This window comes from Homo sapiens, chromosome 3, assembly GCF_000001405.40.
Source record: "Homo sapiens chromosome 3, GRCh38.p14 Primary Assembly".
Lineage (NCBI taxonomy): Eukaryota > Metazoa > Chordata > Mammalia > Primates > Hominidae > Homo > Homo sapiens.
Window position 1 is genome coordinate 113,073,241 of NC_000003.12, and position 26,923 is coordinate 113,100,163.

General features: G+C 39.9%; 2 long non-coding RNA genes across 13 annotated transcripts in view, besides 1 other annotated feature; one reads left to right on the plus strand and one right to left on the minus strand.

Annotated features, from left to right (window-relative positions):
* NEPRO-AS1 (NEPRO antisense RNA 1) overlaps nucleotides 1–26,923 on the plus strand; it is a 164,860-nt gene that overhangs the window by 53,723 nt on the left and 84,214 nt on the right. For 2 of the 12 annotated variants that reach the window (NR_186652.1, NR_186653.1), the window contains one exon: nucleotides 15,383–17,706. The exons of 9 other annotated variants lie outside the window; for them this stretch is intronic. This is a non-coding gene — a long non-coding RNA (NEPRO antisense RNA 1). Of the gene's footprint in view, nucleotides 1–247; nucleotides 323–15,382; nucleotides 17,707–26,923 lie in introns of those variants that run through there. One more of the 12 variants, NR_186654.1, reaches the window with a different exon arrangement.
* LOLI1 (lncRNA oncogene in liver cancer 1) overlaps nucleotides 1–26,923 on the minus strand; it is a 53,508-nt gene that overhangs the window by 22,328 nt on the left and 4,257 nt on the right. The window lies entirely within an intron of this gene.
* Nucleotides 19,407–24,320: an enhancer, noted in NCBI's record as "VISTA enhancer hs1685". NCBI's record gives its function as "enhancer in: neural tube[10/14] | hindbrain (rhombencephalon)[10/14] | midbrain (mesencephalon)[12/14] | forebrain[9/14] | limb[7/14] | eye[11/14] | facial mesenchyme[3/14]" and the evidence as "EXISTENCE:transgenic organism evidence [ECO:0001131][PMID:17130149]".

Sequence of the window (26,923 nt, forward strand, 5' to 3'; positions counted from 1 at the left end):
CTGAGCCGAGATTACACCACTGCACTGCAGCCTGGATGACAGAGTGAGACTCTGTCTCAAAAAAAAAAAAAAGAAAGAAAAAATTCTCTTACTCTATATTTCTCATCTCTGATCAAACACTAACTGTGAAAAAAATTGGTACTAGGAGTGGTTTCAGTGAAGCAAAACTTTAAAGACGGGTTCTTGAATTGCCTCTGGGTTTTCTATAAGTGTTACCCTGATCTGATTAGATTTTACCTACTTCCAGGGGTAAACAACATACTGATAATTCACGGCATGCGGAGGCAAAACTTACGTACTCATCTTCCACCTGCAAACATAGGTAATCATCTGCCATTAGGAGTCAAGCCTTTTTTTTTTTTCCTGTAAGTTTTTGGGGAACAGGTGGTGTTTGGTTACATGAATAAATTCTTTAGTGGGGATTTCTGAGATTTTGGTGCACCCATCACCCAAGCAATGTAAACCATACCCAATGTGTAGTATTTTATCCTTCACCCCACTTTCACCCTTTCCCCCAAGTCCCCAAAATTTATTATGTCATTCTTATGCCTTTGCATCCTCATAGCTTAGCTCCCACTTATAAGTGAGAACATACAATGTTTGGTTTTCCATTCCTGGGTTACTTCACTTAGAATAGTGATTTCTTCCAGTACTGTTTTATAGTTTTCCTTGTAGAGGCCTTTCACCTCCTTGCTTAGGTTTTCTTTTTTCTTTTTGTAGCTATTGTAAAAGGGGTTGAGTTCTTGATTTGATTCTCAGCTTGGTCATTGTCGGTGTATAGCTATTGATTTGTGTACATTAATTTTGTATCCTGAAACTTTGCTGAATTCATTTATCAGTTCCTGGACCTTTTGGGGAGTCTTAGCGTTTTCCAGGTATACAATCATGTCATCAGCAAACAGAAAATTTGACTTTCTCTTTACCAATTTGGATGCCCTTTATTTATTTTTCTTGTCTGATTATTCTGGCTAGGTCTTCCAGTACTATGTTGAATAGAAGTAGTGAAAGAGGGCATCCTTGTCTTGTTCCAGTTCTCACGGGGGATGCTTTCAACTTTTCCCTATTCAGTGTAATGTTGGCTGTGGGTTTGTCATAGATGGCTTTTATGACCTTAAGGTATGTCCCTTCTATGTCGATTTTGCTGAGGGTTTTAATCACAAAGTGATGCTAGATCTTGTCAAATGCTTTTTCTGTGTCTATTGAGATGATCATATGATTTTTTGTTTTTAATTCTGTTTATGTAGTGTATCACATTTATTGACATGCAGATGTTAAACCATCTCTGCATCCCTGGTATGAAACCCACTTGATCATGGTGGATTATCTTTTTGATATGCTGTTGGATTCGGTTAGCTAGTATTTTGTTGAGGATTTTTGCATCTACATTCATCAGGGATATTGGTCTGTAGTTTTCTCCTTTTTTTGTTATGTTCTTTCCTGGTTTTTGGTATTAGGGTGATATTGACTTCATAAAATGATTTAGGGAGGAGTCTCTCTTTTTCTGTCTTGTGGAATAGTGTCAATAGGATTGGTACCAATTCTTCTTTGAATGTCTCATGGAACTCAGCTGTGAATCCATCTGGTCCTGGACTTTTTTTGTTGGCAATGTTTTTGTTACATTTCAATGTTGCTGCATGTTATTGGTCTGTTTAAAGTTTCTATTTCTTCCTGTTTTAATCTAGGAGGGTTGTATATTTCCAGGAATTTATCTATCTCCTGTAGGTTTTCTAATTTATGTGAGTAAAGGTGTTCATGGTAGCCTTGAATGATCTTTTGTGTTTCTTAAGACTGCTCCCTAAATAATTTATGAAGTCAATATCACCCTAATACCAAATGTAATATGTCCCATTTCATTTCTAATTGAGGTTATTTAGATCTTCTCTCTTCTTTTCTTGGTTAATCTCGCTAATAAATAATAAATAAATAATAAACCTTATTTATCTTTTAAAAGAACCAGCTTTTTGATTCATTTATCTTTCATATTGTTTTGTTTGTTTGTTTGTTTCAATTTCATTTAGTTCTGCTCTGATATTGGTTATTTCTTTTCTTCTGCTGGGTTTGGGTTTGGTTTGCTCTTGTTTCTCTAACTCCTTGAGATGTGACCTTAGATTGTCTATTTGTGCTCCTTCAGACTTTTTGATGTAGGCATTTAATGCTATAAACTTTCCTCTTAGTACCACCTTTGCTGTATCCCGGAGGTTTTCATAGGTTGTGTCACTATTATCATTGAGTTCAAAGAATTTCTAAATTTCCTTCTTGATTTCATTGTTGTCCCAAGGATCATTCAGGAGCAGGTTATTTAATTTCCATGTATTTGCATGGTTTTGAGGCTTCCTTTTGGAGTTGATTTTCAATTTTATTCCCCTGTGGTCTGAGAGAGTACTTGCTATAATTTTGATTTTCTTAAATTCGTTGAGTCTTGTTTTGTGGCCTATTATATGGTCTATCTTAGAGAAAGTTCCACGTGCTGATGCATAGAATGTATATTCTGCGGTTGTTGGCAGAACGTTCTGTAAATATCTGTTAAGTTCATTTGTTCTGATGATGCAAAAGTAGTAATGGGAAAGCTGCTAGTGCATTAGCCAGCACATTAGTCTTCACTGCCACACACAATAAAAAGAGAAATGCAAGTGACCCTTAAGAATATATTTGATGAAACAGTAAAAACATTATTATTTGTATTCAATTTCAATGCTTGAAGGCATGTCTTTTTAATATTCTGTGTAGTGAAATGGAAAGTACACATAAAGCACTTCTGCTATACACAAAAATACAATGATCATCTTAAGAAAAGGCACATCTGTGATTACTTGAGTTGTGAGCTGAACTAGCCAGTATTGTTTTTCATGGAATACCATATTTTGCTTGAAAGAATGACTGACAGACAAAATATAACCATTTTCTTAAAAATAAAGTGGGCCTGTCACTTCAATTAAAACAACTGGCATCATTTGTTGATGATAAAAATTTGAACTTTCAAGTAAAAATGAGAGTTATGGAAAACTTGTATCTGCCACTATAAGATATGACAACTTTTAAATTTCTGATATTAACAATTGTGACTTTTAGTCTTGTAGAATGAAATGTGTCAACATTTGAAAATCTGCATAATTCAGTGACAAATATTTTGCAAATGACCAGTGCATGCTATTACTAAATCATAAAAGATCCATTCAAATTTCAATATAATGGACTTTAACAGTATAAACAAATTTTTGCTGATATAGTTTCAATTTCACATTGTAGTTAACCATTAAGAAAGTATATTTACCAAATTTTGGTATAGTATCAAAGAAAAATTTTTAAACTTCTCAGTTTTAATTTCTAAGATGGTAAATAATAATAGATGTAATTCAAATAAATAAAAAGTCTTTGGAGTTCTTAATAATTTTTAAGAAAGCAAAGGAGTCTGAGACCAAAAAGTTCACAACAGGCTACCACAGAGGAAGGTGCCCAAAGGCTTAAGGAGTTCTAAATGCTAGAGTACGTTTACCTTGTAAGACCTTCCCCTTCAACTACATCCCCTAAGAGAGTCCAGAGGACACTCCTTTTACCAAGTCTATAAGAAATATTTTCAAAAAGGGAGCTCCAGCATCCTTGATCTTTTCTTTGTTGCTATCTAACTGGTCCCTTGAATTCAGTGGGAATGATTGGATCCAGGGGTGGCAGGCTTTATCACCAGAAACAAGGTGGATGTGGTTACTGTAATGGGCAAAGCAATAAACAGCCAAAGCAATAAACAGAATGGTTTAAATCTCAGAGACCACTGGTGTTGGCCAGTTAATTTTAGTGTCTGTAGCACTGAATAGATGGACAGTCTAGTGAAGTTTTACTTAATTTGGAAAAGCAGAAAAGTTCCAGGTTTGCTCAATGGATGTCTGACTTGAATCACCATAATAGAAACTTGTGACCTCTTAACCAATTCCTTTGGTTCACAGATCCGGAGCCCTTTAAAAGAAGAGGTGGCTGAGTCCTCTTGAGGAAGTCCTCTTTAGGCAGCCAAAAATTGTATGCAGTTGTCCCTAGGTATCCTCAAAAGATTGGTTTTAGGGCCAGGCGTGGTGGTTCACACCTGTAATCCCAGCACTTTGGGAGGCCAAGACAGGTGGATCACCTGAGGTCAGGAGTTCGAGACCAGCCTGGCCAACTTGATGAAACCCCCTCTCTACTAAAAATACAAAAAAAAATTAGCCAGGCATGGTGGCAGGCACCTGTAATCCCAGCTACTTGGGAGGCTGAGGCAGGAGAATTGCTTGAACCTGGGAGACAGAGGTTGCAGTGAGCCGAGATCACATCATTGCACTCCAGCTTGGGTGGCAGAGTGAGACTCTGTCTCAAAAAAACAGATTGGTTTTAGGATGACCCCAACCCCCGCCTCATGCCACCACACACAACCCAACATATACCAAAATCCACAGATGCTCTAGTTCCTTTTATAAAATGGTCTAGTATTTTTATATAACTTATGCACATCCTCTCATATACTTTAAATCATCTTCAGATACCTATAATACCTAATACAATGTAAGTGCTATGTACTTAGTTGTTACACTGTATTGTTTTTTATTTGTATTTTTTTCAAATATTTTTTATCTGTGGTTAGTTGAATCCATGGATGCAAAACCCGTGGTTGCAGAGCATACAATACAGAGGGTCTACTAGATCTAAATCGTCTTCCTAGCCTTCCCTTCCTAACAAGAGGCTTATATCCGAGCTCCCTAGGGGCTTGAAACTGTTCTAATTGACCATGGTTTTTCCATTTAAATCTTACCTGTCAAGCTAGTCATCATCTGGTGAAAGACCCCACTTGGGCCAAGAAGTTGAGCACAAGTCCCCACAAACACAGGGCCCTGCAGCATGGACCTGGTGTCCACAGGATTCATACAAACTCACCTTCCCCCATAAGGGGAAGTGTCCCATCTTGTCTATGCCTCGTCTCCTCTACATCTCCCATCTTTATTTATCAGAGTTCTCTTTTGCTTCTGGCCCATGTTTGCCTTCAAGGTTTTTGTCTATCAACTCAGCTAGTGGTAGGTCTGTTCTACATGAGGGGAGTCTTCTAAATTTGGAATTGAGAAGATACAGGCAAGATACCAATGTCATGTTACTATTAGCCACAGCTTTACCTCCCATCCCAAAGTAAAGCTATGTCCTAAGAATGTTCCAAGTCATGTGGGACTTAGCCCTGCCATAGTTGTTTTCTTCTTCTTTTGATACAGGGTTTTGCTCTGTCACCCAGGCTGGAGTGCAGTGGCATGATCATAGCCCACTATAACCTCAAACTCCTGGGCTCAAGCGATCCTCTTGCCTTAGCCTCCCAGAGTGTTGAGATTACAGGCATGAGCCACTGCACTTGCCTGCTGTAGTCTTCTTAAAGGCCTGGCAGCACATATTACTCATGAAAAAGTTGGTTCATAGAAGAAGCTCAGGAAATGTGTGCTGAATGAATGGACGAATGTTCATTATCAACCTTGTTGGATGTGAGTGTTGAGAGCAGTGCCCAGAGCACCTGAACACTACATCTTAGTAGCTGGAAAACCCCAGCTCCATACTTCATATAAGAATGTATAGTCCATGTGATTCTAGAACAAGCTAAAAGGCATATGCCAGATATACTACTAAGCTAGATAATGACAGGAAAGTTAAATTTCAGCTCCACCCACTGGAGCCCTCAGGTCAGACTTCTGTAATGTGAATTTTCTATGTAGCTGAGGATGTCCCTTTCAGGATCAAACATTTTCATTGGAGGCTTTTGAAATTATATATTTTTTCATTTTTATATATATTTCATATTTTTCATTTTCTATATGTAGCAAGTGAAAATGTTAATATACATAATAAAAATATATAGAGAGAGTATATACTTCAATCTGCCTTCTTAACCAGAGCCTGTTATACATAATTCACTGCGTTTTGAACATCAAATTATATACTAAATATTGAATGTAGTTTTTGATGTAGTAATCCAGTTTCTGTGACAATTTGATATGTCTACAAGTTAGTCAAGAATAAGGCTGTGTCTCAAAGAATTATTCCAAAGCTAGGTACTGGGGTGAGCTAAAGTTCCCCTAATGTTCTTTATCTTCAGGGGGACAGTTCAAGAACTATGTCTGTTGTGTGCCTAATTCACGTCAGGCGCTGTGCGAGGGGCAGGGTAAAAAGGAAGAATAAGACTCTGTGAGGACAGAAAGAGCTCAGTCCTCACAGAAGTTCCTTTAGGAGACAGGATGAGAAGTCCTGGGAGCCTTTTTTTCTACAATTTGTCCTCTACCTCCTCCAAATTGAATTGTGACCAAATATCTTTTCCAAGGTTCTTTTTCAAACAGTTGCTCTGTTTTTCTTAGAGAAAAAGTTTTTGTGGTGGTGGCAGCAGCAGCGGCAGCAGCGGCAGCAGCAGCAACTCGATGTGTTGAATACTTATGCTAATCAGTGATCTAGCACCAGTTTACTGATTCTTTGGTCTGATTATTTATTATTTATAGAATGTGGTAAATGCAAATGGCATTTTGCAAAGCATGGAACTCTGAAAATGAAACCCCAGCCCCAAGGCGTTGACTGTCAGATTTAGACATAAACAAAACACTGAATAAACAGTGAGACATCTAGTTGAGTTGATGTGGCTGGAAAGGAGGAAAACACTGGGAGACCGAGAAAAAGAAGTGGACATTACGGAGGGATTTCAAGGAGGAAAAGGAACATGAAAAATTGAGCGATTTCAAGAGGAATACAGGGAAGGTTACCAAACCAAGGGGTTAAAAAGGAAACAAAAGGAGCATTGAGGAGAAACTCCCAAGAAAAGAAAGAACTCAATGAGATTTTTTTTCTGCTTGTGCCTTTTGGTGGGAGAGGTGAGAGGCAGGGATGTCCGAGGGGAGAAAACCTTAATGATCAGAGGCAGGGGTGACAAGGTCATGGACTAGTGTTTCATTTCTGGAGAGGAAGAGAAAAAGATGACAATTGGACATATGAGAAGACTTGTTTCTCTATCTGAAAGTCTGAATAAGAAGAGAGGAAAGAATGGAGAGCTCAGATGATGAGGTTTTTAACATTGGTCAAAAGAGCTGTCAGCTGGGCCTTCTGCACCTGATTTTGACTTTTTAGTTTCAGGGTTTTCCTCTTATTGATTCATCTGGAGAGGATCTTAGTCTTTTTTTCTTTTTCTTTTTTCTTTTTTTTTTTTTTTTTTTTTTGAGGCGGAGTCTTTCTCTGTCGCCCAGGCTGGAGTGCAGGGGCAGGGTCTCAGCTCACTGCAAACTCCGCCTCCCAGGTTCAAGCAATTCTCCTGCCTCAGCCTCCCAAGTAGCTGGGATTATAGGCACCTGGCACCAGGCCGGCTAATTTTTGTATTTGTAGTAGAGATGGAGTTTCACCATGTTGGCCAGGCTTGTCTCGAACTCTTGGCCTCAAGTGATCCGCCCACCTCAGCCTCCCAAAGTACTAGAATTATAGGCATGAGCCACCAAGCCTGGCCAGGATCATACTCTTAATATCTTACTCAAACTAGTAAAATTCACAAAAGGCTGTTATATAAACAGGAATTTAGATGTATTGATTTAGGGTGGGTGAGAAAGGTTACAAGTAACTGGGAAAAAAAGATAAAGATAAACCATGCAAATAGCATAAGAGAATAGATAAGAGTATTTCTAGAGATAAAGAGGGACATTTCATAATAATAAGGGAGTCTATTCATCAGTAAGACATAAAATTATAAGTGAGTATGTATCTAATAACAGAGCTTCAAAATACATAAAGCAAACTTGGACAGAATTAAAGGGAGAAATAAGAACGTCTACAGTCACAGTGGGAGATTTTTTTTTTATATGCATATATGCTATAGGTTTTTATTAACAATTGTGTAGTATGTTATAAACTACCTCTGGGTATTTTGGAGTGCTAACAGAATACGTAATATAACATCACTAGTGTAAATAATTTTATCAGAGTAAATTCTGCTAGCAAAAAGGCCTTACAATTATAAATACTTTAGTTATGAAATTCCATTTATATATCATATTTAGGAGACACCGTTAGTCAATATTCAAAATCAATCAACAAATTCATATAGCTGTTTTAATGATACATACAGACTGACAGTGAATACACGGAAAGATATTTCATGCAATTAGAAACTAAAAGAGAAGTCACGGAGAGCTATACACCTATCACAGAAGATAGACTTTAAGTCAAAAACTGTAAACTGATATAAAGAAGGTCATCATATCATGATGAAGAGGTCAGTTCATTAAAAAAATAACAATTGTAAATATATATGCACCCAATATCACAACTTCTAAATATATAATTTTATATATAATATTATATATAATATATGTAATATATATTACATATAATATTATATATAATATATGTAATATATATTATATATATTATTATATGTAATATATATAATATATATTATATATAATATTTTTATATATATTATATATAAGTATATATAATATATATACTTATAGATTTATATATATTACATATATACTTCTATATATAATATTACATATATACTAATATATATATAATATTATATATATACTAATATAATATTATATATATACTAATATATGTAATATTATATATATACTAATATATATAATATTAGTAGACCTGAGGGGGAGATAGACTGTATTACAATAATAGTAAGGGACTTAGATACCCTACTTTCAGCAATGGATAGATTATCCAGACAGAATATCAGTAAGAAAATGTCAGATTTAAACTACACTTTAGACCAAATAGACCTAATGGACATATGTGGAATATTTCATCCAACAGCAAAGTAATACACATTTTTCTCAAACAAACACAAGACATTCTTCAGGATAGATTATATGTTAGGCCACAAAATAAGTCTTAATATATTTCGAAAGATTGAAATAAAAATGTGAATGCAGATGTCTTTTGACAGATCAATTTCATTCCTCTAGGGTACATACCCAGAAGTGGTACTGCTGGATCATACGGTAATACTATTTTTAGTTTTTGAGGAACCTTCATATTATTTCCCAAAATGGCTGTACCAACTTAAATTCCCACCAATGATGTTTAAGAATTCCCTTTTCTCTTGGGAACGTATATACACTGCTGGTGGGAATATAAATTAGTTCAGCCATTGTGAAAAGTAGTTTGATAATTTCTTTTTTCTTTTTCTTTTTCTTTTTTTTTTTTTTGAGACAGAGTTTTGCTTTTGTCACCCAGGCTGGAGTGCAGCAGTGCGATCCTGGCTCACTGCAACCTCCGCCTCCTAGGTTCATGTGATTCTCCGGCCTCAGCCTCTCGAGTAGCTGGGATTACAGACGTCCACCACCACGCCCAGCTAATTTTTGTATTTTTAGTAAAGATGGAGTTTCACCATGTTGACCAGGATGGTTTCGAACTCCTGACCTCAGGTGATCTGCCCTCCTCAGCCTCCCAATGTGCTGGGATTACAGGCGTGAGCCACCACACCCGGCCTGATAATTTCTTAAAGAAATTAAAACAGAACTACCATTTGACCCAGTAATCCCATTACCAGGTTTATATCCAAAGGAATATATATTGTTCTGGCATAAAGACACAGGCACGTGTATGTTCATCGCAGCACTATTCACAATAACAAAGACATAGAATCAGTCTAAATGCCCATCAATGGTAGACTGGATAGAGAAAATGTACATATACACTATGGAATACTGCACAGCCATAAAAAAAAGAACAATATCATGTCCTTTGCAGCAACATGAATGGAGCTGAAGCCATTATCCTAAGTGATGTAATGCAGGAACAGAAAACCAAATACCACATACTCTCATTCATAAGTAGGAGATAAATATTGAGAACACATGGACACAAAGGGGAGAACAACAGACACTGGGGCCTCCTTGAGGGTGGAGGGTGGGAGAAGAGTGAGGACAGAAAAGCTACGATGCTTATTTTTTTTTCTTTTTTTTCTTTTTGTTAGTATATGTGCTGCTGAAGTGAGCACTTTTTTTTTTTTTTTTTTTTTGAGACGGAGTCTCGCTCTGTTGCTGAGGCTGGAGTGCAATGGCACAATCTCGGCTCACTGGAACCTGCGCCTCCTGGGTTCAAGTGATTCTCCTGCTTCAGCCTCTTAAGCAGCTGGGATTACAGGAGCACGCCACCACGCCCAGCTAATGTTTGTATTTTTTAGTAGAGACGAGGTTTCACCATGTTGGTCAGGCTAGTCTTGAACTCCTGAACTCAGGTGATCCACTCGCCGCGGCCTGCCAAAGTGCTGGGATTACAGACTCGAGCCACTGCGTCTGGCCAGTACTATGCTTATTATCTCTGTGATGAAATAATCTTTTACACCAAACCCTCATGACATGCAATTTATCTATATAACAAATTTGCACATGTACCCCTGAACATAAAATAAAAATTAAAAAAAAAAAAAGAATTATCTCTTCTCCATATGCTTGCCAGCACTTGTAATGGTTTGTCTTTTTTTTTTTTTTTTTTGAGACGGAGTCTCACTCTATTGCCCAGGCTGGAGTGCAGTGGCGCAATCTCGGCCCACTGCAAGCTCTGCCTCCCAGGTTCACGCCATTCTCCTGCCCCAGCCTCCCAAGTAGCTGGGACTACAGGAGCCTGCCACTACACCAGGCTAATTTTGTATATTTTTAGTAGACACAAGGTTTCACTGCGTTAGCCAGGATGGTCTCAATCTCCTGACCTCGTGATCCACCCACCTTGGCCTCCCAAAGTGCTGGGATTACAGGCATGAGCCACCTTGCCTGGCCTGTCACAGTGGGAGATTTTAACACTTCTCTCAGCAATTGATAGAACTAGATAAAAATTAGTAAGACATAAATGATTTGAACAGCACTATTAATCACCTTGGCCTAATTAATATATTAGAACACCTTGGCCTGGATGTGGTGGCTCACCCCTGTAATACCAACATGTTGGGAGGCCAAGGTGGGAGGACCACTTGAAGCAAGGAGTTCAAGACCAGCCTGGGCAACATAGCAAGACCCTGTCCCTACAAAATTTTTTTTGATTAGCTGGGCGTGGTGGTATGCACTTGTAGTCCTAACTACTCGGGAGGCTGAGGCAGTAGGATTGCTTAAGCCCAGGAGTTGGAGCTTGCAGTGAGCTGTGATTATGCCATTGCATTCCCTCCTGGGCAACAGAGCAAGACCTCATCTCTTAAAAAATAAAAAAAGTTACAATGTGCACCTTTTAAAGTTTGCACAATAAGGAGACGAGAGAGAGGAAAGATTGAACATTAAGATAAACATAAGCTGTTGGAAATTTTGTTGAAAGACATGTTCCATGACATTGATCTTACAGAAAGGTGTGTGGATTTCAACCTAGTCATGATGGATTCTATACCTCATTCTATCGTGCTGAGTTACCATGCACTAGAGATTTAATTTCTCTAAACCCGTTTCTCTATCTGAAAGATGAGAGTAATAACAAATGCCACTCACCACTATCCTGAAGCTTAATTAATGTTCGTAAATGCTTTCAGAAATTTGGAAGGGCAAGATTTTTATGAATACAACACATTATTTAGAAAAGCAAAAGAACACGATCAGAGAAGACTTGGATTGTTTCCCTCTACATAGCCTTTTAATGAGATTCCTCTTTTTGTCTTATAAGGGAAGAAAACCAAATCAGGAGATGACTAATCTCACTGGCTAATCTCTTCCCTTAATGTTCTCTGGACACACAATCTCTCCTAAAGGAGCATGTTGGAATTTTGTCGATCAGATTTCCACATCAGTATAAATACATTCTTTCCTAGAAATATAATAGTGAAACAAGAAGGCTGTGGTTTTTTGAGGAGCTGGCTCTGGGCCCAACAGGCAGATGTTCTTGATCTTTTGCTCTACCTTGGATCTTGTGCAAATCACAGTGCTGTTCAACTTCCTTCCTCATCTGTATAATTGGAATAAATGTGCCACTGTCTGGGAGGTCAAGTGAAAATTAATTAGCTGTGTTTCTTTTTTTTTTTTTTTTTTGAGACAGAATCTCGCTCTGTCGTCCAGGCTGGAGTACAGTGGCGTGATCTCAGCTCACTGCAACCTCCACCTCCCTGGTTCAAGCAAATCCTCCACCTCAGCCTCCGAAGTAGCTGGGATTACAGGCGCACACCACCATGCCTGGCTAATTTTTTTGTATTTTTAGTAGAGTCGGGGTTTCACCATGTTGGCCAGACTGGTCTCGAACTCCTGACCTCAGGCAATCCACCCGCCTCAGCCTCCCAAAGTGCTGGGATTACAGGCGTGAGCCACCACGCCCGGCTGCTGTGTTTTATTTAAGTTCTTCTCCATTGATATTTCAGCACTTAAGTTCTTCCCCATTGATATTTCAGCACTTATGGCCAGCTAATTTTTTTGTATTTTTAGTAGAGTCAGGGTTTCACTATGTTGGCCAGACTGGTCCCGAACTCCTGACTTCACGCAATCCACCCTCCTCGGCCTCCCAAAGTTCTGGGATTACAGGTGTGAGGCACCGCGCCCGGCCACTGTGTTTTATTTAAGTTTTTCTCTATTGATATTTCAGCACTCTCTGCAGTCCTTAGTCGGAACAACACTTCTAGACATTACTTCAATCCCACCACCACGAAATTCTTAATGGAAATGTATATGAAAGAATCTGGGAAGTTTACTAATCATTAAAGATTGAGGTTTCTGTGAATTTCCTAAGATTAGATTTTTAAAAAGGCACAAGAAATCTTTGCCAAATCTATTGACCCCTTTCAATTATGCATTTCATTAAGAACACCAAAATATAAGAGTCTTTTTCCTTCCTCTCTGATTTATCTCTTTGTCGCTGTTTCTCTCTGAATCTCTCTGGGTTTCACTCTTTTTCACTCTTTCTCTACTCTGTTTCTCTTTTCCCTAGGATCTAGTGGACATGTGAAAATGAGTTTAGCTGAGGTGTAATAGCAAAGTTAGCCACCTTGCAGCCTCACTGGCAAATAAAATTCTATTAAACACAACTGTCATCAAACTCATTAGTGCCTCCTCCCCTTGCCTTCTTGCCATTGGGTTGCTAACAAGTTACAATGTTTTTCTCTCTCCTCTCCAGTCCCCCTTGTTTCAAGTTTTGTTCTCTCCTTCTTTCTGCACCGCCTGCCCTGTTGGAGATGCAGGGGCTGCCCCTGTGGCCACCATTGCCACCACCCCCCAGCAGACAGAAAGGCTAAAATGTCAAAAGATGCGTCGGTTGCCTCTGACAAAAGTGCAGATCAGATCTGAAAGGGGATAAATATGATAGGGGGCCCAATAATAACAGTGCGCACTTGTTAACTACACAAATCCAGCAGGAGCTGGGGGCAGGGAGGGCGGGCATGGTGGAGAATAGAAGCTGCCTGGGCAGGAGCCCCTTGGGGGAAAGTGAAGGGGGGGTCCTCCAGCAGCCACCATCAATTATATGGGCTGGTTTTGTTTTGTTTTGTGAGGTCTGAACTGAGGCTCAGCTGATGGGGCATGGGGGTGTGGAGGGGGTGAATAAGGGATTTTACCCAAACCAGTGACTCTGAATGGAGGTCTCGGGCTCAGTTGAGGGGGCCTCAGCAGTGAGAGCTTGAAAAGAGGGCCTTTGGGTTATGCAAGGGAAAGGGAAGGTGGGGCGAGGTGGGGGCTGGGGGACATTTGAGGTGGGAGGGGTAGGGGGAAGGAGGAGAATAGCACAATAATGGGAAAAAGGAGGCTAGCTTCTGAGGTCTCATTTCTCACAATGAGTCCCATGTGGTTCTCTTTATCTCAGCCTTTCAGCAGTCAATAGAGGGAGCCTTTTTATTTTCAACTCTAACTATACAGCCACGCTACTCCCCCAACACACACACACACACACACACACACACACCCCTACCAGTGTGGGACAGTGAGCAAGACATTGGAAATGTGTGAAAAATTATTTCCCCTGCACAGGTTTGCTGGATTTTCTATCCTCCTGCCAGACCCGTACTTATGGGACATTCACTCCTCCACCACTGCTCTCTGCCTCTCTTGCCCCAGCTTCGCCCCCTAGACTTGATTCCCTCCTCCTCTATTATACACCCCTCCCCCTCTCCTCCGTGGATGCCTCAGAAACTCCAGAGAGGTTGAAGGGAGAGGAGGTTCTTGACTCTTTAGAAAGTCATGAGTCATATGATGACAGGTAAAGCAGAGATGGATGATGGAGTGATGTTGATTTGCAACCCATAAAAAAGCAAAAATAAAAGATCAAAGCAAACCCCAGCTTGAACTTTAGACTGTTTTAATGCATAGAAAAGAACAAACATATTTTTTGTGTGTGGTGGACTTCTCTGAAATGTTAAGTCCCCAATTGGACAAATCCCTTTCAATTTGTTCCTAAGGCTATGACTGAAGCAGCCACAGGCTCTGAATTTACGCAGCTTGATAGAAAATAATTCGTCTATTTTTCAAACAATATTGTTATATATTCTCATAGGGTGCCTGAGTTTGAATAGGCACAGCGTTCTTAACCAGGGGTGGAAGCTTTTAGAAACAGATTCCAGGCCTCATCTCCCCAAGATTCTGCTTCAGCAGCTGTGAATGGGGCAGTGTGTGTGTGTGTGTGTGTGTGTGTGTGTGTGTGTGTGTGTCAGAGAAAGAGAGAGACAGAGATTGATCTTGATGTACAGTGCCATTTGAAAATCTCAAAACTAAGTAAGTTGTTCCCCTTCAGCTACATCAGGGGAGTATTCATCAAATAACAGTCACTAGTTGTGCTGGGAAAATAGTTGATTAATTGAGCCAAACCTATCTCTGCTACCAAGCATTGTAGCTGGCTGGAAAAAAAGAAAGGAAAAAATAATCATGTCCATCATCAAGAAATGAAGATAAGGGGGAAGGTAAGAATAAATGAAAATAACAATAACCTCAAGTAATTGTTTAGTACCAGGCATTTTTTTCTACAAGAACGATTACCCCATTGGAAGCGGGAATGAGACTCAGTTGTCTTAAGCAACTTGCTCAAGGTCACACTCCCAATAAATGGCAGAGCCAGGATTCCTTCCTAGGCTTGAATGATCTGTGCAGCATGCTCTGAACTAGGCGGAGACCCCAGGAATGGGAATAGGAGTGAGACAGCAATCCAGAAACAGACTCTCCCATGGCAATAGGAAGGCTCCCGAGGGTTGCTCATGCACTCAACATCAATGAGCTGTGGGGCAGCTCCTGGCTATTGGCTTCTCATCAAGGACTCCAAACCTCTCCTCACCTCTTAAAAATCTTCTTGTCTCTTCCTCCTGATCCAGCTTGCTCTGCTAAGCAAAGTACCCCACACCAGGCATAGAAAGAAAATGGATATTGCCTTCATATTTTCTCTGAGCAGGGAGATGTATAGCTTTTAGGTCTCTCACATGATAAGAAAATCACAGTTGCCCTCTTTTTGGCTCCATTTCCAGTCTCTTGAAGGTGCAGCTGTGTGGCTTGGCCATGAGGATCGGAGAGGATATAAAGAGGGCAGGAGAGGGGACGACTCCCATTTTGCCACCCTGGCAGCTCTCAACCGGCTCTGCTCCAGCCAACTCTTCACAGTACTTAAAGTCCTTTTTCAACGCCACGAAGTGATGCTCTCACCGGGTTCAGATGAGCTCATCTCCTCTCTAACTACACTAAAGTGCCTCGAGGGCTGGAACACTGCCTCATGCTTCTCCATCCCTGACATGCTCAAGCCCAATGCTGATACAGTGCTCAGTAAATTATTGTCGTTTGGTTGATTTGCAACAAGTGCTTTTTAAATTGGAATGCTCAGGGTTGAAATAGTCCCTCAGTTGTTCCAGATCACCATTTTTTTTTTTTTTTTTTTAAGACGGAGTCTTGCTCTGTCGCCCAGGCTGGAGTGCAGTGGCGCGATCTCCGCTCACTGCAAGCTCTGCCTCCCGGGTTCACGCCATTCTCCTGCCTCAGCCTCCTGAGTAGCTGGGACTACAGGCACCCGCCACCGCGCCTGGCTAATTTTTTTTGGATTTTTAGTAGAGACGGGGTTTCACCGTGGTCTCGATCTCCTGACCTCGCCGGATCACCATTCTTAATTATCCTCCTCTTGCTGGTGTGCTACAGTTTCTGGATTCCCCCAGTCTAGATATATTAACCTCATGTGGCCTCACTGGACAGCCTCTTTGAGGCTGCCTTCATCAACACCTGTTACTCTGTTGCCCACTTCATTTTCCCCAGTCTGTTGTGTTGGCTCGACATCCCTGAGTCTTGCCCACTGTCTGCTGTCTTATTCCTGTGTTTGTTCTGACTTGACAAATTACTCTCATCTCAACTACTGTGTAGCAATACTTTTTATTCAACTTTTACCAATTTCCTAATACCATGGTCAGTGCAAATATTCTCCATTCTTTGGCTTTACCTCAAGTTTCCATCCTATTTTTTTTCTCTTTCCTAAAGAGAAGTCCATACATTCTAACTCTGTTATGACTTGCTTGCTCCTTAATCTCTTGTCATTTGGTTTCCACTCTTCATGCTGTGTTGTTCCCACTGGGAAAGGCACCATAGACTTGAAGAGTCTGTCCTTGATCTTGTCTTGCATGGTTTCTCTGCAGCCTTTGGTGCTGTGGACCACTGCCTGGTCCTGACACTCCTTCTTGCTTTTGCTGCCTTAATGCTCCATGTGTCTGTTTCTTCTGCTACTGCTATTTCTCCATCCAGTCCTTTCTGAGATTCAGTCTCTGCTTGGTTTTCCTTAGAGGCAATTTTCACTCCCATGACTTCAATTATGGTCACCTCTATGCCAGGTCACACTTCCAGTTGTCTACTGGATTTTTCTACTTGTCCATCCTACTATTATTAAAACTTGAGATATCTCAAACTGGATTTATTCCCCCTTCCAAAACTGCTTATTTTCTTCTACTAACTTCAAGGCTGAAGGTTTCTGCCCATCCATTGATTGTAATCTTCCATCAGTCATTAAAGTACATGATTCCTTCAGATCTATTCTCTATCCCATCTATTTAGTTTCTGCCACCACCCTAATTCTAACCCTTTTGTCACATGTATAAACTATTGAAATTAATCTGTTAAAATACTTTTGCAAAAATGTACTCTTCTACTCAAAACATCCAGTAGTTCCCCATTATTTACAGAATCAAATCCAACCTTCTTCACCTAAGGTTCAAGACCTTCCTTAATCTAATCCCAACTTTGTTGTTCCCACCATTTCTTCCTCTATTATATTTGCCTTAAAGAAATAAATCAGTTTAGTGAAACTGTTCTGCTCATAAGATCCCAAACACTTTATATGCACACAGTTGTTCATGTCCTTTCACCTACCTGCTACATCCATCCCTCATATTCCCATCTCTTCTGGCCTAACCTTCCTTCAAACCACCTTTCAAAAAAAGCTTCTTTGACCATCTCAATCTAAATTAACCTCTTCCTCCCATAAACTCCCTTTGACTCCATTAAGCTACTGACAGTTTATGAAATTATGTAAATTCCAGTTTATATGTTAAATGATTGCTTAATTTTTCTTACATTATCTTTCTAACTAGATTGTTTGCTTCTTCTGGATTTGATCCCCCAGCTGGCACCTGGCTCAGACTTAATTAATGCTGCCTGTTCTTGTCTGAGTTTCCATGAACTTATAAATACAAGTTGTTTTTGTAAATTGAGTCCCAAACCCATATGTTTATAAGAGCAAACACCTTGAGCAGGATTAACTATGTGCAGGTATGGATATTCTGTTGCATTTTTTTCTAAATAAAATCTTATTTATTGGCTACCTATTTGCCTCGGTCCGATTGTGCTGTTGTAACAGAATAGCGCAGACTGGGTAATTTGTAACGAACATATATTTATTGGCTCACAGTTCCAGAGGTTGGGAAGTCCAATGTTCAGGGATCTGGAGAGGGCTTTCTTTTTGCATCATAGCATGGCAGAAGACATCACATGGCGAAGGCAAAGAGAAAGATGAGGACCAAACTTGCCCTTTTATAACATTACTCCATGCATGAGGGCGGAGCCCTCATGGCCTAGTCACCCTTTAAAGGTCCCATCTGTTAATACTGTTAATATGGCAATTAAATTTCAATGGGAGTTTTGGAGGGAACAAACATTCAAATCAGAGCACTAGTACAAACACAGGTGTATGAGCCTCACCTTACACATTTTGCCTTTTCTTTAGCAGATCAGGAAAGGAGAAGCAAAGTAGACAGCAAGCTGTGTTCTCTTCCAAGCAACCTCATTCATTATACAGTGGCTAATTTCCTTCTTCATGCCAAAGTAACTGCACCGTTTAAAGTGAAAAAAAGGAAGAAAGAGAGAGACAAGAAAAAGAAGGAGGAAAGAAAGAAAGAAAGAGGAAGGAAGGAAGGAAAGAGAAAGGAAGGAAGGAGAAAGAGAAAGAAAGAAAAGAGAAAAAGAAAGAGAAGGAGGGAGAGGGAGAGAGAGAGAAAGAGGAAAGAAAGAATGAATGAAAGAAAGAAGGAGGGGGAGAGAAAGAAAGGAAAGAAAGAAGGAAGAAGAAAGAAGGAAAGAAAGAAAAGAGAAAGAAAGAAAGAGGGAAAAGAGAGAGGGAGGGAGGAAGGAAGGAACAAAAGAAGGAAGGAAAGATACAAAAGAGAAGAAAAAAGTAAGTTTGTATAATAGATCTGATTCTCTCCTCCTCTATTATACACATTCAAGAGTGTGGTGTGGAAAAAAATAGAAATTTACACTTGACAAACAGCTTTGCTATCTCTAGTAATGAATTCATTTACTGTTTCCAAGCACCTATGACACTCATTTACCAAAAAGGAAAAATACAAGGGTCATAGATATAAATGTTTATTTTTTTCCTTATATGTAGAAACAAAATATTTACTAATGAAATTCTTGCTTCTTTTTTCTTGAGATGGAGTCTCACTCTGTCACCCAGGCTGGAGTGCAGTTGCACGATCTCGGTTCACTGCAACCCCCACCTCCCGGGTTCAAGCAATTCTCCTGCCTCAGCCTCCTAAGTAGCTGGGATTACAGGAGCATGCCACCACGCCCGGCTAATTTGTGTATTTTTACTAGAGACGGGTTTTCACCATGTTGGCCAGGATGGTCTCCATCTCTTGACCTCCTGATCTGCCTGCCTCGGCCTCTCAAAGTGCTGGGATTACAGGCATGAGCCCCGCACCCGGCCCTTGCTTCTTTAATTGAGGTTAGAGTCAATCCATCTTTACCAAGCTCTCCATTTCTCGCCATGATGGTGAGGTAATGTCCTTCTTCTCAGTGTGTAGGTGGACTAGCAAAATGGCATTACCTGGGAGCTTGTTAGAAATGCAGCATCTCAGAACCTTTCCCAGAATCAGCATTTTAACAAGTTTTCCAGGTAATTCAAATACACATTAAAGTTTGAAAAGCACTAAAGTAAGGCAGATGTAATAATAAGACAGCATTGGAAATTCATCTCAGATGGCATTATATGAAGCCTCATGATTCTGTCAGAATCTTAAAGCACTATGTGGGTGGTGATGGGGTGACAATATAAAGTAGCTGCAGTTTGCAGACCTGAGTCCTGCTCTGGGCAGTGTCCTCCCGATAAAGCCCCAGACTTCAAGAAATACATGCCTGCTGCCTGAAATACATGCCTACCGCCTTACCCTTGGGCTGAGGAAATCTCTCTGAGAGTCACATTCCACCCACTACCCCCCTCACTTGTTTCCATCATATTACTCTCTTCCTGGGACTCCTCTGCCTTCCTATAGATGTCTGGATGAGACGATGGAAGTGTCTCACTGCTTCTGCCCTTGACTCCCCTACACACCCTGCCCTAGGCCATGCCCCAGGAGACAAAGGAACTGGAACTGTGTATAACCCCGGGGCTAATTGCCCCAGATGGTGTTTTCCTCTGTGTCATCCTCTATTACCTTTACTCTGTCTTTTTTTTTTTTTTTTTTTTTTTTTTTGAGATGGAGTTTCACTCTTGTTGCCCAGGCTGGAGTGCAATGGCACAATCTTGGCTCACCGCAACCTCCGCCTCGTGGGTTCAAGTGATTCTCCTGCGTCAGCTTCCCGAGTAGCTGGGATTACAGGCATGCACCACCATGCCTGGCTAATTTTGTATTTTTAGTAGAGACAGGGTTTCTCCATGTTGGTCAGGCTGGTCTCGAACTCCTGACCTCAGGTGATCCGCCCACCTCAGCCTCCCAAGGTGCTGGGATTACATGCATAAGCCACCGTGCCTGGCCTACTCTGTCATCTTTCTTAAACCCATCTAGAGAAATATAATCGCTTTAAGCATTGTATTTGCTATTGTCTATTAGATCTGTCATTTTCCCATCAGGTTTTTTCTAAGTGTATCTTTGTTTTGAATCTTAAGGAAGGCTTGGTACTTAAAGGTAGCAGACCAGAAACAGGCAAACCATTTTGGTGTGATGCTGGGTTCTCCTTAACCATGAGAACAACCAATAGCATCACATTTTTAAAACTTTATTCAGTCATTCATTTTCAATACATGTTATTGAGCTCCTATTTGTCCATGGAGTGCAACAAAACTCTTATTCCGTGGAGTGCAACAACAACAAAAAAATTGTCCTTATGAAGACTCATTCTAATGGAAGAAGCAGTCAATAAACACATAAACATATAGCTAAATAATACTATTTCAGATAATGTGTTAGGCTATGAAAAGAATATAATAATGGGAAAGAACAACTGGGTATAAATTGTGACCCTTTACCTTGAGAAGTCAGGGAGGAACTGTGTTTTGTGTCATTTGAGCTCAGATATAAATGATTAGATGGAGGCAACTATTCAAATATCTAGGACAGGTGTTTCAGGCAGTGATGACAGCAAGAGCAAAGGTCCTGAGGCAGATCCTGTTATGATAAACACTTGGGGTGAGTAAGGAAGGGGAGAGAGGGAGAAAAGATGACTAAAACAAGCACTTGGCCTCAAGTCTCTGGGAGTCAGTGGAATGATCTAGGCATGATAGGAGGAAGAGGGAGAAAATATTGGAAAGTAGAGAAGAGAGAGCAAGAGGTAAAGGAAAGAAATCAGAAAGACATAAGAGTGGTAGGAGATGGCCAACTACAATTCACTGCCCAAGCCACTGGCCAGCACGAGTGCAGCGGGCTCCCTACTGGGAGTCTGTGACCAAAGAGAGTGTGTTTCTTCTTTGGAGGGAGGAGAGCTGCAGAAGGAAAATATACTAATAAGCTAGAGGCAAAGCAGGCCCTTAGTAACAAGAAATCTTCTGAAGAGAGAACTTAGGAATCAGATTCTAGCAAAGATATAAGCTGGAATTTTCAAGCTCTGTTATTTTCAGAGGTTATAAGGACATCTCAGAGCCTCCTACTCTGAGAGTTCTCACAGTCCTGGGCAGCATTCACACAAACAGGTCGGTGTATGAATATATGAGGGTATGTGTATATCCTGTGTGTTGAGATCGTTGGGGGTGCCTGGGCAGAGGAAAAGAAGAAGGGAAGGCCATTAAAAGCCTTGCTGAGAAAGGTATTTCTTGTGGACAAAAAAGAATCAGGCCCCTCGCTCCCTACTGAGCCCATTTCTCCTGCCTTTACCCGAGCTGTCAGGCATGAATCCCTGTAGCATTCCGTAACTAATTGATAGTAATGGGGGCCATTGGGAGTCTAAGAATACGTGGCATTACCCGGCATGCATTGGAAAGAAGGGGGGCTGCCTCAGGGGCAGCTGTGGAGAAAATAAAGGCTGCATTTTCAACTTTTTTTTTTCCTTAATTGAAGGTAGGAGGTAGAAGTAGGGAGGAGCAGATTTAGGCAAACCTCTCCTCTAGCTTAAAAATAAAAAAAATTGCAAATCTCATTTCTTATCCTGAGCTAATATCCCAGGATACTATGTCTGCCACACAGAAGAAACAGATGGAATTTCAATTAACCCCAGGGCCCCCTGTGAAATCTATATTGTACCCTCTGGATTTACAACACATTGTTAATATATGACTGCAGGCTCTGGAGATTCCATCACAAATCAACCCCCTTTATTCCAGAGGTTCAGAAAACTACTACAAAAGCCCACTTCAGAATCAAAAGTGGACAGTTTCTTACAACTTCATCTTCAGAGTTGAAACCCAATTTTAATTTTATAACAGTTTATTTACTGAGCAGTCCCCATGTTTTTATAAGAGAAAACATTTATTTTTTTTCCTTCTATGAATGATGATAATGACAGACTAAAACTATTTATGCCAAAAAGAAAATTGGGAAAAGATACACCATTACCACACCTTGATGAATGATTCACCATAAACTCACAGTCAATTATCATCCAAAGGATTTTTATATTTAAAAAAATTATGCCTTTATAGAATGTAGTCTTTAATACTAAAGATATTTGAAATCAAAATAAAAGCAGTTACTTTTCCTATTAATATCACATGAAGTTGTAAATTTTGCAATAATGTTAAGAATTCCAAGTGGTTTTTCAAAGTCAGGATTGTTTATAAACCTATGGTTCTGACTTTTATGTCTTTTATTATTGGCCTCACCTTTCTGAATTTATTCTTCATTTCAAAAATAATATTTGCATAAGTCTTCAACTTCTCACACCCACAAAAACTTTCAAAATTAATTTTGACCTTTCGATATTATGGAAAAATTTTCTGTGCATTTTTCTTACAAGACTACTTTTCCCTAAAATTATACGTCAACTCAAATCTTGCATCACCTTCTGCAGAGATGAATTGTCCACATTCAGTAGTACAGACTCCTTTTCTCTCCAGGTTGCTGTTGTGTTATCCAGCTTATTTTACGAAAAATTTGCCTCTGAACCCCTGGGGACTATCTCTAGGAAATTAGATCAGCAAACTTCCTGTATTTTGAGAAAAATAACTTTGGAGAATTGAAATGTGTCTTTTTAAGGGATTGCAATATGATGTGAAGGCTCCTCCTCATTCCAAGGTAACCATGAGGGACTGAGGACATAGGCTGCCCTCAGAAATACAATCTATTAGACTCAGAGATGTTGAGAGCTGGGCAGAGTAAAAAGAGCCATCATTCAGACAGCTAAGATATTGTTTGTCCCCACTTTGCCATTTCATGAAGGTAAATAAGGCAGTCACTGGAATGTTCCTCTCCAAATTGTCAGAACAGAGGAGTTTTCCAGCCTGATTTTCTTTCCTCCACCAAATGCACAGCCTCGCAGGACCACTGGGGAAACTTCTTTCTCCCTGTGTCTACCATTGTATAGCTAGGCCAGCAGGGGCCATGACACAGTGAGAGCTTGTCAAATCAAACAGAGCTTGGTTGTGGCACAGGGACTGGGGGCCACCAAGGAGGTTCAAAGAAATGGTAGATTTGTTCTTCAGGCAGGTTAGGAACATTGGCTCAGAGGCTGGAAGAAGTTTCTTCTAGTGGAACAAGCTCCTCTTATTTTTAACGAAGTTGGTTTATACCCTTAAACCACCCTTAAATCAGAAAAAAAGTGGTGATTTTAAATAGGCTGAACATTTGCCTGCTTTGGACATCTTAATATCAGGCAATCAGAGGTCATTTTGATGCAATCATTGAGGTTTATTTCCTCATCTGAACAAAAACATGGATTTGTTATTAAACCCAGACTAGCATTCATTTAACCTGTCTCATTTCCATCTTAGATATCATTTATTCTGGAAAGAAAAAATATGTGGTCACTTAAAAATAATATACAAACCACATGTTAAGATTGACTGAGTTTTTGTTTGCTTTTTTAACCTTTTGTGTGTGCTTATTATATATAAATAATAGAAGTCGATTCTTCTATAATACTTTCTATGTGCCAGGCACTATTCTAAATGCTTTATGTGCAATAATTATCTAATAATCACAATAGTCATCTAATAATCACAATACTGTATGAGGTATTATTATCGCCTTTTTCCAAAGAGAGAATATTAATGACACAGTATTTGGAATATGTTTGCTTCTTAGCCTTTAGAGGTTATGGCAGGGATCACGTTTTCTGATCCCTGATCATTCACAGAATTGAAAGTGACATCTTTCAAAACATAGTCAGTATGGTTCCTCTTCTTCCTTCCCATCCCCCTTGCCCACCACCTGCCACCTCTCCTTCTAGTCTGTCCTGAATTCTGCACTCTATTTTCAACTTCTTATTTGAGGCTCCTTCACTTGCAGTCTTCCTGTTTTTATTTTTGTGCTATTAATTTCATGTTCCAACACCACCAGAAGTTAAGGCAAGATGAAAGAGGAAGGAAAGGACAATATAGGAGGTATTCTAAAGTCATCTGGAAAACTTCATTATTGGATTCAGTAGGAAAAGTATACTGACGAGCTCAATTGAAAACATACATGATTGGTGAAATTTTTTGCTATTACCTTACCTTTTCCTTACTTTTTTTTTTCTGGGTTGGTTTTACTGTTTTACCATGATTTTTCCCCGAGATTCAAACAGAAATCTATTTTCCCATCAGTTTTTCCCAAAAGTCTTCACTCAGCCTTTCCCACAGGTATCTATTCCTTTCTCACTGCCAAGCCCGTGTTTATTATCTTGGCTTGAAATTGTTCTGTCTTCATTTGCCTTATGCATATCTTAGCCTCAGAACCAGGTTCCTAGGAAAATGGCAATTGTTTTTTTTTTTTTTTTTTTTGCAGATTCTACAGTTTTGTTTTGTAAGTTAGACAAATTTGTTGAGCTGAATTAGGGAGAGTGTGATATATACATGCCATATTTCCCTGAAGTATGGTTGCTGAGTATGAAAGCACTGAACTGATTGGAAAACTGTGCCAAGTAAATGAAATATTGCAGCAGGAATAGGAGAAACATTGATCTGGACTGGGCCAGAGGCTGGCATAAAGAAAGACAATCTTAGGTGGGGACAGAAGCCAGCAGCAAAGAAGATCTGGAGTCAAGCTTAGGCCCCTGTCGTAGTGGGACCATATGAGGAAGCCATCTAGAATTTTGGAAGAGGCTGAGGCTAAGGTTACAGCCCAGAAGTAAGATTGAGTTTCCTCTAGGCCAGAGAAGACATATTTTCTGTAGCATTTGTAGGGAAGAGTCCAGGAGAAACGTCTGCACTGAGAATGGAAAACACACTCCTGGGACAGTAGAGGTGAAGATTCTCAAGGAAAAGCAGCGATGATGGCTGAGTCACTTGCCAGGAATGTTTGATTGCACTGTTATGACAGAACTTATTCCAGGACCTCATTTTTGTGGTTTCAACAACTCTTCATTTATTCTCTGAAGATTGTCTTTCATACCATAGGTATGAGTTTTGGCCTTTCATCCTCTTTCTCCCTGAAAGCTCTAAGGGAATCATTGTTTAAGGAGGATCAAATTCTGCTTGTGAGAGCAGTCCTTGCAGACTGACCTGAGCTTGGGACCAGGCACCGTTGCAATGATGGCCACTCAGGCCCAACAATGTTACTATTTCACACCATATCTTTTTCTACATACAGACATACCTTGGAGATATTGGGGGTGTGGTTCCCAACCACTGCAATCAAGTGAATATCACAATAAAGCAAGTCACAAAAAATTCTGGGTTTCCCAGTGCATATTTATTGCTAAAAATGCTGATGATCATCTGAGCCTTCAGCAAGTCATAATCTTTTTGCTGGTGGAGGGTTTTACCTCGATGTTGACAGCTGCTGACTGATGAGGGCAGTGGTTGCTGAAGGTTGGGGTGCCTGCAGCAATTTCTTAAAATAAGACAACAACAAAATTTGCCTGAATTGACTGATTCTTCCTTTCACAATAGATCTCTCTGTACCGTGACATGCTGTTTGGTAGCATTTTACTCACATTTATTTCAAAATTGGAGTCAATCCTCTCAAACCTGCCACTGGTTTATCAACTAAGTTTATGCACTATTCTAAATGCTTTGTTGTCATTTCAACAATGTTCACAGCATCTTCACCAGGAGTAGATACCTTACGAAGAAACTACTTTCTTTGCTCAGCTGTAAGAAGCAACTCATTCAAGTTTATCATGAGATTGCAGCAATTCAGTCACATCTTCAGGCTTTACTTATAATTCCAGCTCTCTTGCTATTTCTACCACATCTGCAATTACTTCCTCTACTGAAGCCTGGAACCCCTCAAAGTCATTCATGAGGATTAAAATTAGCTTCTTCCAAACTCCTGTTGATATTTTGACCTCCTCCCATGAATCAAGAATGTCTTTAATAGCATCTAGAATGGTGAATCCTTTCCAGAATGTTTTCAATTTACTTTGCCCAAATCCATCAGAGGAATCACTCTCTATCGCAGCTATTGCCTTGCAAAATTTATTTCTTTCAAAATAAGGCTTGAAAGTAGAAATTACTCCTTGATCCTTGGGCTATAGAATGGATTTTGTATTAGCAGGCATGTAAAGAACATTAATCTCTTCGTACATCTCCATCAGAGTCCTTAGGTGACCAAGTGCATTGTAATGAACCATAATATTTTATAGAAATATTTTCTTCTGAGCAGAAGATCTCAACAGTGGGCTTAAAATATTCAGTAAACCATGCTGTAAACAGATGTGCTGTCATCCAGGCCTTATTGTGCCACATATAGAGCACAGATGAAGTAGTTTAGCATAATTCTTAAGGGCCCTAGGATTTTCAAAATGGTAAATAAGCACTGACTTCAACTTAAAGTCACCAACTGCATTAGCCCCTAGGAAGAGATTACTCAAAGCCTGTCCTTTGAAGTTGAAGCCAAGTATTGACTTCTCCTCTTTAGCTATGAAAGTCCTAGATGGCATCTTCTTTCAATATAAGGCTGTTTTGTCTATGCTGATAATCTATTGTTTAATGTAGCCACCCTCGTCAATGATCTTAGCTGGATCTTCTGACTAACTTGCTGCAGCTTCTACATTATTAGCACTTGCCACTTCCCCTTGCACTTGTATGTTATGGAGATGGCTTCTTTCCTTAAACCTCCTGAGCCAACCTCTGCCAACCTCAGGCTTTTCTTCTGCAGCTTCCTCACCTCTCTCAGCCTTCATAGAATTGAAGAGAGTTAGAGCCTTTCTCTGAAATAGTTTTTAGCTGAAGGGTATGTTGTGGCTGG